The sequence below is a fragment of the Homo sapiens genome, chromosome 9 (assembly GCF_000001405.40).
Source record: "Homo sapiens chromosome 9, GRCh38.p14 Primary Assembly".
In the NCBI taxonomy this organism is placed as follows: Eukaryota; Metazoa; Chordata; class Mammalia; order Primates; family Hominidae; genus Homo; species Homo sapiens.
Genome location: NC_000009.12, coordinates 62,724,699 through 62,738,983, shown reverse-complemented (window position 1 = coordinate 62,738,983; position 14,285 = coordinate 62,724,699). Strand labels below are relative to the sequence as shown.

At 40.1% G+C, this 14,285-nt stretch overlaps 2 annotated features.

The window, feature by feature from the left end:
* Positions 241-759: an enhancer, noted in NCBI's record as "H3K27ac-H3K4me1 hESC enhancer chr9:47049526-47050044 (GRCh37/hg19 assembly coordinates)". NCBI's record gives its function as "activates a minimal SCP1, AML or CMV promoter by ChIP-STARR-seq in primed H9 embryonic stem cells {active_cell/tissue: H9 hESC(primed)}" and the evidence as "EXISTENCE:reporter gene assay evidence [ECO:0000049][PMID:30033119]".
* Positions 760-1,279: an enhancer, noted in NCBI's record as "H3K27ac-H3K4me1 hESC enhancer chr9:47049006-47049525 (GRCh37/hg19 assembly coordinates)". NCBI's record gives its function as "activates a minimal SCP1, AML or CMV promoter by ChIP-STARR-seq in primed H9 embryonic stem cells {active_cell/tissue: H9 hESC(primed)}" and the evidence as "EXISTENCE:reporter gene assay evidence [ECO:0000049][PMID:30033119]".

The window sequence follows — 14,285 nt, the reverse complement described above, 5'->3', positions numbered from 1 at the left end:
CTGGATGCAGGGGTGCATCAGTGACTCCGCTGGTGCCTCCAGGAAAATAAAGTGTGGACCTCTGTGGACAAGAAACAACCCAAAGTAAAGACGACTCCTCACAGGCAGGATGGATATCCAGTTGTATGTATGTCGGTGTGCTGGGGCCGGGAGGCTCCTAATAACAATGTTACCGCTGCTTCACGTGGAAGAAAGCTGAGGCTCAGAGAGATTAAGGAACTTGTCCAGGGCCATACCGGAGTCCAGGCCTGTGTGCTGTCATGGTCTGAGGTTTGAACTCCAACCGTCTAAGGAGCTGGGATAGAACTGGGGAGGGAGTGTGGTGGGTGGGAACAGCGGGCAGATAGATGCTGGCTGGTCTCCGAGGAGCCTAGGTTCTGCCAGAGGGACAACAGGTGAGGAAAACAGGCCTCGGGGTGGATGAGTGAATACTCAGAGGATGGGCGCAGACCCGGAGGGCCGTGAAAGGTGACAGGGTTATTACAGTCTTGGTTGCATAAGGGGGTAACTAGCGGTTTCTTGGCTGAAAAAGAGGAGGGGGGCTACAGCTTCCCCCCTCCAAGGGCGGAGCACGCAGCCGCTCAGCAGGCTGCCACACAGGGTCCCCCACCTCCGCAGCTGGGGGACCTGAACTCGCCAATAGGAGGTTCCTCCTGCACGCGCGGCTTCACCCTCCCTCCAGGGCTCCCGTTGCATTTCACTCCCTGCCTAAGGTCGCCCGCCGGTGAGGGCGGAGGAGGAAGAACTGCAGCTCCTGAGGACAGAATCTGCTTCAAGGCACCCTGACCGGCGCCCAACCCCACCCCGGCTGCGGCCCGCCGCCCTGATCCCCATCGCGCTGCACGGTCTTCCCTTCCAACACCGAGGGCGCTGCAAGGACGCCCTGTCCCTGCCACTCATTCATATTAATGACTCCTCCCACCATGCTTTCCTCAGGTGTGTTCCGACCGCTCTGCCCGAAACATTTTCATCCCACATTCTTACGGCCACCTCTCCCCAAGTTCCCTTCCGTCTGGGCAAATCTTGTCCTTTACCCGGCACTGGGGTCGCTCCAGAGCTTTCAAACCAGCTTCCCCAGGGCGCTGTGCAGGGCCGGGCCCCTACAATTTTTGTATATTGATCTTGTACCTTGCTGTCAGGCTGAACTTGTTTATTAGTTCCAATAATTTTTTTTAGTGGCATTGTTGGGGTTTTCTATATAAAGGTAATGTCATCTGCAAGTAGAGCTAATTTTACCTCTTCCTTTCCAATCTGAATGCCTTTACTTTATTCTTCGTTTAATTATCTTATCTTGGCTAGAACCTCCAATACAATGGTAAATAAAAGAGGTAAATGTGCTGCAGTGAGTGCTTAAAGTTTTATGTTGCCTTAGCATCCATTTTCAAATATGTGTTTAACTTTCTCAAACCAGAAGCAGGGTTCAGTCACCCTTGATGCAGTTTCCTGTACTATACCCCCCAAATGGCTCCAGGTGGTGACCAGAAATAAAAACTTGGAGGCATCTCTGTCTCGTAGCAGGCTGGGCTCCCAGCTTTCCTGCTGCTTCCTCTAAACAGACCATTTAGACACTTTTCAGTCACAATGTGACTTCCTAGTACTAGTGCCTGCTTGCTTTAAGCCCATCAATTTAAAGCTCCCTGTTTATATAATGCCCTGGACCCAATAAAGGCATTGACCTCCTTGTGTGTGTGTGTGTTTTCTAAGCATGCTGTGTGCCCCCCAGGGAACTTTCACACTGTGGTCATGTCATTGAAGCCACATCTGCAATCTGACCCATGCAGGTGGATCTCCTGCTGCTGCGCTTCTGTCTGGGTCTCTGGTGGCTGCAGAAACAATGGCTACAAGCTGAGCAGATAAAGAAACTCAGAGAGTTCATTCTAAACAAGTGAACAACCTCTTCTTCCTGATCTAAGGCAAAAAGCATTTAACCTTTCATCATTTATTTCTCCACAAGTGTGGCATGTCATCATTGCCACTCACTGACCCACACACTCATGGTTCATAGCCTGAGAAATAGTTTGCAAAGGCATATTTACCTTCATTGAAACCTTAGAAAACATATATAAAGGCAGTTCAAAAATCAACCTTAAAATATGCCATAAAAAGACAGAGAGAGGTAAGAAGATACTCATGAAATCAGTCATTGTCTCAAACAAGAATAATTTTAGAGAAAGTGGATTGGGTCCTTCTTTCCCTGGTTCTCTTGCTTTTTTCTATTCTCTTCTGCGAGCAATAATCCTTTTGTCTGGCTTCTTCATTATTTCAAAGGAGAAAGTACAATATGAGCATGCATTCACCTATACTGTCAATTCCAGAAAAAAATAGCAGAGTTAAATATAAATGGACCTTAGTCATATTTAACCATTGCTCTCCTTGACAATCCAAAGCTTAATAAAGTACATCTCTTTGCATTTAGAAATTCATATATTCATACTCATACTGTTAACCTACTAAAATAAAAAAGTAGATGGAAATAATATACATGGAGCTAAAGTCAATATTAAATAGTCCCAGACATATGGTTTGTGACTAATTATTAAACATAATATATGAATTCTTCCGGTGGGTTATACAATTTTAATTGGTTGATTAAAGGACCATTCTATTCTTCAAAGGAGATAATCATGCTAAATTTTAAGAAAAATTACAGTGGAGGTATTAATTTATTTATGTCTTTATAAAAATGTAATATAAAATGTTTATGCAAAGGAGGCCTGTGAGAGAGGGGAGTGTCAGGGTTTAATAAGATATTTGGAGTAGTTTCATCCCATGACCACACATGTTCTGCTTTACCATCTGCAATCTCATTAGCTGTCCATGAAGATGCTGTGCTGAATGTAGACCTGAAATTTAGACATAAGCACTCACATATATGAAATATACATTGCTAGAGGAGCAAATAAACAAAGAAGAAAAACATTTTTTGATTTGTGGCTTCACTTTTGAACAATAACCAAAAATATTCTACATGCTTGAAGGAAAAAAAAACTCATTTTATTCTTATGAGACCAAAGGATTTTATTCTTACGAGACCAAAGGAAATGACAACAGAAGGTGAAATACAATGCAACTAGCCTGGGAAATCTTTCTGCTTGGTTCAGCTGGGCCATGGACAATTTCAAAACGAAGCAATGTGAAAACAGCACATTAATGAATGGATGGATAAAGAAACATGGAGAGAAGATACATTACTTTGGCTACCAGAGGTACAAATGCAAAAAGATTCTCCACTTTTGACTAGTAGAACTGATGATGGATTTAAAATCAGCTGCACACTGAGGGATTTTTGTTCAAGTGTAACATAAATTGTGTTACAATATGAGGATAAAATATGTTATTTTGGGCTATGTTTTAGTGCATAAACACTAACAACATTAATGAAATAATAATTTACTTGAAAGATGTTTAATCTATTTGTAAATAGCTCTGTCACCTGCTGAATGGCTTTCATATGTTTCAAGTAATATTTAATTTCTAAAGAGTATCCTAGACTTTACTCTGAGGATTTATTATATTAACTCTCTCAAAGAGCCCTTATATCGTAAAGAGAGTGTTATCTAGAAAACAAACCTCCTGGGTGTCACACGTTGCTAGTTATGATATTGCTTAAGGTAAAATGGGAAAATTACAGCCCAAGGCTATTTCCCAGTTACCTCTGCTTAGGGACAATAACTGAACGACCCCACAGAAAACACGTTAGGGTAGAAGGGGCCTGTTTTCCAGGAATTCCTGCTTCTTCATGTTAAGTACCCTCCCAACCAAGTGAAAGCGAAGACTTCTTAGTAGAAAGGCAAATTCAGCAAACTACTTTCCTTTTTTATCTGAGATAAAAATTAAGTGAGTCTTTGTGTTTTTGTGTATTTATGTTCTCAAGTTTTGCCCTTGTTTATTTTCTGTTCTTTATTAATGAATCAGTAGTTCCATTCTTGAGTTGTTTTGAATTATTTCACCTGGAAGAAGACAAATTTAAGAAGTCCTAGTAAGTAAGCATGAAAAGGGGTCTTAAATGAGTATCAGGAATCAAATGCACTGAGTCCTCGGGTGAGTATTCAACCCCTGGGGACTAAGTAATCCTTTCCACTGCCTCTATTTTATTTCTCTTGAAGAACATAAAAATCTAACAAAAGTGCTTAGCTATCCAAAATTATCAAATATTGAAAGAATGATTTTTTTTCCACATCAAACAAAATTTAGTTAAATGGTAGTTTCCACATAGATATAAAATGTTGAGCAGCATTAGAGATTAACCCTGTGAGGTGGGGGAGATAAAGAAAGGTTTAGTGGTGGTACAATTAGCTGAGGAGTCAAGAGAAATAGAAAACAAAAAATCTTCTATTTTGTCTTCTTTGGATCATGAATCCATTGTTATGTTTTATTTTTATTAAACAATTATTTCCCATGCTGGAAGAGTGAAAGAGTTGAGCCATCCTAAGGAACTTAAGGTGTGACAATTTACAGAGAAGAATAGTTGTAACATTGCTCATTTACTCTGAGTATAAACATGAAAAATAGTTTTAAAAATACGGTGAAATAATTTATTCCACAGAGAAGTCATGGAGCTCTCTTACACATCATATTGTATACTAATAGCTTTGGGTGGGTGGTCTTCAGGTGATAGCACAGAAATGGAGTACAAATTTGCAGGGAAATGACACAAATTGAATCAGGCTTCAGTTTACCAGCTACTGATTGCTATTAACAGGGCATTTTGATGTGAGTCTCCACTAAGCATGTGAGTTAGAAAATAGCTCTAAAGACCATCCTTGATGGATCATTACTTTGAGATGCAAACCCCAGATTGCATTATTAAAACATCTTGGAATCAATTCTGTGCATTTCCAAATAAGCTCTGGCATGCATATGACCACATCATTAATACAGTTTACTTCTCTGGATCCTAGACTCTTTTTTTTCTTTTTTTTTGAGATGGAATCTTACTCTGTGCCCAGGCTGAAGTGCAGTCGGCTCACTGCAAGCTCCGCCTCCCAGGTTCACGCCATTCTCCTGCCTCAGCCTCCTGAGTAACTGGGACTACAGGCACCTGCCACCACGCCTGGCTAATTTTTGTATTTTTAGTAGAGACGGGGTTTTGCCATGTTGGCCAAGCTGGTCTTGAACTCCTGACCTCAGGTGATCCACCCACCTCGGCTTTGAGAACAAGAACACCATATCTGCTGGTCTCAAACTCTTCACCTCAGGTGATCCACAGTCCTCAGCCTCCCCAAATCCTAGGATTACAGGCGTGAGCCACTGCACCCAGCCAAAAAAACTGATGCTATTTTCTATACACCTTGCACCTTATGGATGTGCCTACCAGAGATCTGGATTATAACCCTACCTTGTCACCATAAAAAATTCATTCCTATTGGACACTGACATGAAAGCCTTATGTTACGTTTTGTGATTAAGCAGTTTTCTCTTACAGCTTATTTACAAGGGAAAGAGAAAGGAAACAAGAAATAGTTTCAAAAAAACAGCCAAAATTTCAGTAATCATTAAAATCAACACAATTAAATACTCTTTTTTTGGAATGAAATTTCGCTCTTGTTGCCCAGGCTGGAGCACAATGGCACAATCTCAGCTCACTGCAACCTGTGCCTCCCGGGTTCAAGCAATTCTGCCTCAGCCTCCTGAGTAGCTGGGATTGCAGGCGCCTGCCACCACGCCTGGCTAATTTTTGTATATTTAGTAGAGACAGGGTTTCACCATGTTGACCAGGCTGGTCTTGAACTTCTGACCTCAGGTGATCCACCCGCCTCGGCCTCCCAAAATGCTGGGATTACAGGCGTCAGCTACCACTACCAGCAATTAAATACTCTTTTTAAAAGCCTTGAGGGAACCGTGTAAAGATCTCAAAACTCTAAGATATTTTCACATCCTGTCCCCACATTCCAAGGTTAGGAAGATTGAGAAGGTATTCATTTACTATTAGTTATTTATTTTATTGTTATTTATATTAAAAATCTCAAGGCAAAATATTAGGTGATTATCCCAAAAGATTACATTAAAGCATATTCCATAATTAAATATACATTTCAAATTTAGAAGTTAGTTTTAAAAGCTCATCAGTTAAGGTCTGGAACATAAAAAACATTTCATAAAATTAAGGTTTCGGCCGGGGGTGGTGGCTCATGCCTGTAATCCCAGCACTTTGGGAGGCCGAGGTGGGTGGATCACGAGGTCAGGAGATCGAGACATTCCTGGCTAACACAGTGAAACCCCATCTCTACTAAAAATACAAAAAATTAGCTGGGTGTGGTTGCGGGCGCCTGTAGTTCCAGCTACTTGGGAGGCTGAGGCAGGAGAATGGCGTGAACCCGGGAGGCGGAGCTTGCAGTGAGCCGAGATCGCGCCACTGCACTCCAGCCTGGGTGACAGAGACTCCATCTCAAAAAGAAAAAAAAAAAATTAAGGTTTCACTGATCCTCTGTCCCAGCAGTTCTAATCCCACGAGAACTAAAAAACATAGGTTCACATGAAAACTTATGATAGTTCAAGGCATCTTTATTTCTAACATCTAAACATCCCAGCTGTCCATCAATAAGAAAATGGGCTAACAAATGGTATACAATGGAACAGTACTCACAATAAAAAGAATCAACTTTTTTTTTGTTTTTTTTTTGAAGGAGTCTCACTCTGTTGCCCAAGCTGAAGTGCAAGTGGTGAGATCTCGGCTCACTGCAAGCTCCACCTCCGGGTTCAAGCGATTCTCCTGCCTCAGCCTCCGGAGTAGCTGGGATTACAGGTGCCCGCCACCACACCCGGCTAATTTTTGTATTTTTAGTAGAGACAGGGTTTCACCATGTTGGCCAGGATGGTCTCAAACTGCTGACCTCAAGTGATCCACGTGCCTGGGCCTCCCAAAGAGCTGGGATTACAGGCGTGAAGCCACTGTGCCTGGCCAAGAATCAACTTACTGATAAACACAACAAGACAGCTGAATCGCAAATAATAGTATGCTGAGGGAAAGAAGCTTTTAACAAATGCCTACCTGCCTGCCCTCCTTCCTTTTCTTCTTTTATGTTTTTAACCTGGCTTAATTTTCTTGGCTTCATTATTTTAAGCAATTTTTGCAGTGTTGAAAAATTTGCAAGTAAGTTTTCAGAAACAGTTAACTTCAAAATCCTACACATGCTATACATGAAGACAGTAAAAACATGGATGGAAAGAAATAATCAGTTTATTTACATTTTCTGTTTATATGATAAGTAGTAATTTAGCTGAGGTTGACAATTCATTTAAATGAGATAAAAGTCATTTACATTGTCTCTGTGGCTGTTTTCACGATACAAAGGGATGCAAAGGTAGGGTGTTACTGAGCAAACAATGGGCTTGCTGCCTAATGTACATGGAGGCCAAGACCATGGCACTGGCTTTTGAGGAAAAAAAAGCTTCATTGCAAGTGGACTGGCAAGGAGACAGGAGGAAGTGCTCCAATATATCACCCCCAGCTGACGTTTGGGTCGGGTTTTATAAGCATAGGGTAATGAGGTGTGATCTGATTGAATTCTGCAATGAGATGATGCCAGGAGGCATGATCTGATTCGATTCCACAATGGGCTGATGCCAGAGCTCAATTTGATTGGATCCTGGATCCTTCCATACTGCGTCTGCTTCTTAATTCAGTCCCTGCTCTTTGGTCTTCTCCTTGGTCTGGGCACTTCTGTTCCCCTTGTGGTTGCATACTTGGTTCATCTGGGCATGCTCAGTTTACATGACCTTCAGCCTGAGGGCTCAGACCAACTCATAACTTTGTTGGATTAAAGTTTAGCCAGATTTGTCTGGCGCTGTTGCAGGTAGAGCAGTTGTGACAGAGACTATGTTGCCCTCAAAGCTGAACATATTTACAGTGGTGCACCCTTATCCACAGGGGATTCCTTCCAAGATCCTCAGTGGACACCTGAAATCTTCAGTAGTACAGGACACCATACATATTGTGTTTCCTTTACATATATATTTATAATAAAGTTTATAAATTAGGCACGGTAAGAGATTAACAACAATAGCTACTAATAACATAGAACAATTCTAACAATAAGCCAGCATCACTATTCTTGTGCTTTGGTGCCATTATTAAGTAAAATGAGGGCTCCTTAAACACAGCACTGTGATACCTCAACAGTCAATCTGATAACTCAGAAGGCTACTAAGTGACTAACGGGCAGGTAGCGTATAAGGCATGGATATGCTAGACAAAGTGGTGATTCATGTTCTAGGAGGGACACTACTCAAAACAGCATATAATCTAAACTTATATATTATTTATTTCTAGAATTTTCCATTTAATATTTTCAGACCACAGTTGACCACATTTAACTGAAACCACAGAAAGTGAAACCATGGATGGGGGAACTACTCTATACCATATCATCTGTCACCTTACAGAAACTGTTCACTGATCCCTTTTGTAGACTAAAGAGTCATAAAGATTTCTCACTATGTGAGATAGAATAATTTTTAAAAGCGTAAGTTTCAGTTTACACTTTTAAGTTCCAAGTTCCCTCTATGACTGATCATCTGACTTTGCATGAGTCACACAAGCTGAGTCCAGCTGTCCCCAGCCACTGAGATGCAGATACTAACAAGCACCTCTACTCAGTTCCCAATCTGTCAAGTGTGCAGTGAGCATCTAAGGTCAAGAATACATTTCAATGATCACAACAGCTGGTGCTGAGAATACCATCAAAATATAAATAATGGCCTTGACAATGTAACTGAGAAGACTAGTATATTTGAAACATGGGAGGCAAACTCAAGACAGAATATAAATACATTTAATTACTAAGTCACGTAGTAAGTTTTGGTATATCCATATAGTGGAATATTTTAGCAGGCATTAAAAATGATATTTTTCGGCCAGGCACAGTGGCTCACGCCTGTAATCCCAGCACTTCAGGAGGCCAAGGTGGGCGGATCACGAGGTCAGGAGATTGAGACCATCCTGGCTAATACGGTGAAACCCTGGCTCTACTAAAAATACAAAAAATTAGCCGGGCATGGTGGTGGGCGCCTGTAGTCCCAGCTACTCGGGAGGCTGAGGCAGGAGAATGGCATGAACCCAGGAGGCGGAGCTTGCAGTAAGCCAAGAAGGCGCCACTACACTCCAGCCTGGGCGACAGAGCCAGACTCCATCTCAAAAAAAAAAAAAAAGATATTTTTCAAAGAAATACGTTTATGGTGGTTTGGTTTTAATTGAGATACATAAATACTGCTTCAATTTCTGTAATGGCTGTGAGATGTTCCTGTTTTAACTCCCTTCTTGGGAAACTATTTCTGTTTGCAGATGACATAATCCTATATCTAGAAAATGCCATCATCTCAGCCCAAAAGCTTCTTAAGCTGACAAGCAACTTCAGCGAAGTCTCAGGATACAAAATCGATGTGCAAAAATTACTAGCATTCCTATACACCAACAACAGGCAAGCCAAGAGCCAAATCACGAATGAACTCCCATTCACAATTGCCACAAAAGAATAAAATACCTAGGAATACAGCTAATCAGGGAGCTGAAAGACCTCTACAAAGAGAACTACAAAACATTGCTCAAAGAAATCAGAGATGACACCAAAAAATGAAAAAACATTTCATGCCCATGGATAAGAAAAAAACAATATCATGAAAATGGCCATACTGTCTAAAACAATTTATAGATTCAATGTTATTCCCATTAAACTATCATTGATATTCTTCACAGAATTAAAAAAAACTATTTTAAAATTCACATAGAACCAAAAAAAAAAAAAAAAAGCCCAAATAGCCACAACAATCCTGAGCGAAAAACACAAAGCTGGAGGCATCACACTACCTGACTTCAAACTATACTATAAGGCTACAGTAACCAAAACAGCATGGTACTGGTACAAGAACAGACACATAGACCAAGGGAACAGAAACGATAACCCAGAACTAAGACCACAGACTTATAGCCATCTAATCTTCAACAAACCTGACAAAAACAAGCAATGGGGAAAGGATTCCCTATTTAATAAATGGTGTTGGGAGAACTCTGGCTAGCCATATGCAGAAAATGGACCATATAGAAAAATCAACACAAGATGGGTTAAAGACTTAAATGTATAACCCAAAATTATAAAAATCCTAAAAGAAAACCTAGTCAATACCATTCAGGACACAGGTATGGGCAAATATTTCATGATGAAATGCCAAAAGCAATTGCAACAAAAGCAAAAATTGACAAATGGGATCTAATTAAACTAAAGAGCTTCTGTACAGCAAAAGAAACTGTCATCAGAGTGAACAGACAAGCTACAGAATGGGAGAAAAATTTTGCAATCTATCCATCTGACAAAGGTCTAATATCCAGCATCTACAGGGAACTTAAACAAATTTACAATAAAAAAACAAACAACCCCATTAAAAAGTGGACATTCTTTTCACTCTAGGAATCTCTGATTTGTCTCTGGCACTTTCAAGAATTTGTATTTTTCTTTGTCATCTGATGATTCATTAAAATGTATCAAGGTGTTGGAGATTTTTTTTTTCATACTGCTTGTAGATTTTTTTGCTTTCCTTCCTAAATTCATGTTCTTAGCCTATTGTGACTCGGCTATATGCAAGAAGTCTGGCTCAGCCTTCCCAACATTTTATGTGTCCAAGGCCTACTTTTACTTTCCCCTGAGTAGTTGTTAATACCCCAAACTCTGGGTAACCCAGGTCAGTTTCTGTTCCCCAGGCAACTCTAGCTCCTGTACTGCTTTTATCTATTTCTGGATTGCCATCAGGGCTTCCTTGAGAGCTTCACATTTACTTAAAAGTAGACTTGATATAATTTCCTGATATTTTGTAGAGCTACAAGGCTTTTTAGGAAACCCAGTTTGGCCAATTGACAGAAATGGAAGTCCAACTTTGGTGGGAAAACTATTATTGTCAATCACTTTATATAGAATGAAACAGTGGTGCAGAGACATGACTTTGAATTATGCAAGGTCAAAGTGCCAACATACTTCAGATGTAGAACTTAAAGTCAACAAATCTGAAACCAACGTTAATGTGTTCCTCAATACTTCAGTGAATACAATTACGGATAGCAAGGTGAGTAACCTAAAGCAAAAACAAGGGACTACTTTACTCCTTGTGTTTCGTCCTATTCCATAACATAGTTTGTGTTCTTGGAACTGTAAACTTCGTCTTTTTAACTACTTGCCACATGGTAAAACTGACAATCATGAAATATGTCACGTTATCCTGTGACTTAGAATGTCTGGTGGGGCATCACTCCACTCTTCTGGAGAGAACATGTATGACAGTTTGAAACATTCAAAATGTGCTGTTCTTTGCAGTCAGGAAAGAACTTCAGGGCAGGACAGAAAGAAATCAGTCACAACATTTCAGATATTGGTGTTAGAAGGAGTTATTTAGGGAGTTATTTAGAGATAAGACATACTTCCTGGCTCTGTTGAAATCACATTGTGTAAGAAGCTGCCTATTTCATTAATACATAAAGCCAGCCTTCCTTTACAAGTAGAGGCTACATTATCCCTGATTATGCTTTATTTTTAAAACGTGAACTTGAGGAAAGAGACTCAGGCCTGTATCATACACTTTCCTTAGTTTTTGTTTTGTCAGAAGCATATTATTAACAAGTAGTCTCTTTCAAAAAGACAAGATACAAACGAGTAGAAAAAAATCCATTCTCTTATCTCATGATGGTTAGATTATTTAAGAGTTGAAGTGATTGCTATGTCATTTGCATAAATTCAAGGACTTTTATTTATTTATTTATTTATTTATTCATTTTTGAGATGGAGTCTCGCTCTGTCACCTAGGCTGGAGTGCGGTGGCGCGATCTCGGCTCACTGCAAGCTCTGCCTACCGGGCTCATGCCATTCTCCTGCCTCAGCCTCCTGAGTAGTGGGACTACAGGTGCCCACCACCACACCTGGCCAATTTTTTGTATTTTCAGTAGAGACGGAGTTTCATCCTGTTAGCCAGGATGGTCTCGATCTCCTGACCTCGTGATCCGCTCACCTCAGCCTCCCAAAGTGCTGGGATTACAGGCGTGAGCCACCGCGCTTGGCCAAATTCGAGGACTTTTCTCTCTCAATTGCTTACAATTAAAAATTTTGTAGTAGCACATGCTCACAGATTTGGGGCTTTCAGAAATGTCTTTTCAAACTAAAAACTTTTAAAATAAATAATATTGCAGATATTTAAAATAATAATATTTCTAGATTGCAGAGGAAATACAAACTCCCAATTAATCATACCAAATATATTCTATGTTCTTTAACTTCTGGTAGAAAAAAAATCAGATTTATACTTTATATCTTCCTGTATTTTAGAAAATAGCAGACAATGAGAGAAGATAATTCTCTAATGAGATATTTGGGATCCAACACGGAATAAATGTCTGTATCTTAATTTTAAATTTTTACTATATAATTATTGATATCTTTTCCTAAAAGGGGAAATCCCTTACTCTAATTTTGAGATTGATATTTAGAATAATTGCTAAACTAAATAGTAGACTTGAAAAAGCTTTGCTCATAAAATTCTTACAGATTTATTTTATTTTACAGAAGTGGTAATGGTAATTAACAAAAATTCTTAAGTGTAATAAATTCATTTTGGTAGATTTTGGTATGTAAATGAGAAAACAGTCTTCTAACTATAACAAATTATTTAGCTTAGTCTGTCATATAAAATTCAGTGAAAAACTAAAAAAAAGTAACAAAGAACTGAGCCTATTCAAATTATATGTAAAGTTTGTGCACAGTATATAAAACTAAGTTAAGTAGGCTTACAAAATAACACTTCATATAGTATTTTGGGGAAACTCTTTCTCCAAGAGGAGAAAAAATAGCCAAATAGGAAAGAGAGTGCAAGGTTTTTAATCAAGTGTGTCTCTTCCCTTGGCTTGTGTGGGAAGATTGTAGATGGGATTACTAGGATCAGATTTAGAACACTGATCTGATGTCAATGACCTAAGTCAGCATAGCCAGCAAAGTAATATTTCCAGATAAAGAGAGAAAAAAAATTCTCCTAGATAAGAAAAAAACAACAGGGTGCTCTCAAAACCAGCACTGTAATCACCACTGAGCTAATTAGTAGGACATTTAAGGCCAAGGCACCATGGAAAGGCCAGAAAGAGACAAAAGTCAATAAAAATGGTCACTGACGACAGAGTCACAGTGCCTGGCTGACAGATGGTGCTGAAAATCTCTGAGAGATGAGGACGACTTCAGATAAGAGCGGTCCAGGGAAGATACTCAGTCATTGACAAAGCACAATGGGAAGGGTCAGTAAAAAGATCAATAACAGAAGGAAACAGCTGCCACATTCATCATTCTTAACGTCAAGGTTGACATTGGATAAATGGAGTTGGCCTTTTTTTTTCTTTTTTTTTTTTACAATAGTTTAGTGCAGAAACCTCTAAAAGGAGCTTGTACATGAAGAACTGAAGTGAGAAGCCTAGCCATTTGTATACCTTTTAGTAATAGAGACTGAATATTAAAACAGACAGTGGCCAAACCACGTACGACAATGGAACTCTGACCCACAACCACTGCAGCAACCAGCTTGGGAAGGCAAACCACAATCTCTGCAGCAGCCAGTTCAGGAATGCAAGCCACAAATTCAGTAGCAATTTGCCGAAAACAATCAGAGGTTGGTCAATGACTGCCAACTTCTCTAAGATTGCCCCTGCTTCTAGTTTAGTACTAATTAAAGAAAGCCAAATACTCTCTCCAAACCTATCCCATCAGATGCCTTGCTTCTCTTTAGCCTACCTGCGCCTCTCCATGCCCATAGCCTCCTACCCCAAAGCCTTGCCCCTTTTCACTATAAAGCTTTCCCATTCTCCCAGCCTGAGTCTCTGTCAAACATAAATGATAGTGACTGCCTCCCTTTCTCTAGCAAGCAAGAAATAAATAGCTTCTGTTCTCATTAAGTTGTCTCCTTTATTTCTGTAATTTTCTGTTTTTTTTTAATTTTTTAATTTTTTTGAGACTGAATCTTGCCCTGTCGCCCAGACTGGAGTGCAGCAGCACGATATGGGCTCACTGCAATCTCTGCCTCCCAGATTCAAGAGATTCTCCTGCCTCAGCCTCCCAAGTAGCTGAAACTACAGGCATGTGCTACCACACCTGTCTAATTTTTGTATTTTTTGTAGAGACAGGGTTTCACCATGTTGGCCAGGCTGGTCTCGAACTCCTGACCTCAGGTGATCCACCTGCCTCAGCCTCCCAAAGTGCTGGGTTTATAGGCATGAGCCACCATGCCTGGTCTGTATTTCTGTAATTTTCCTAGAAGCTCCACTGAGACAC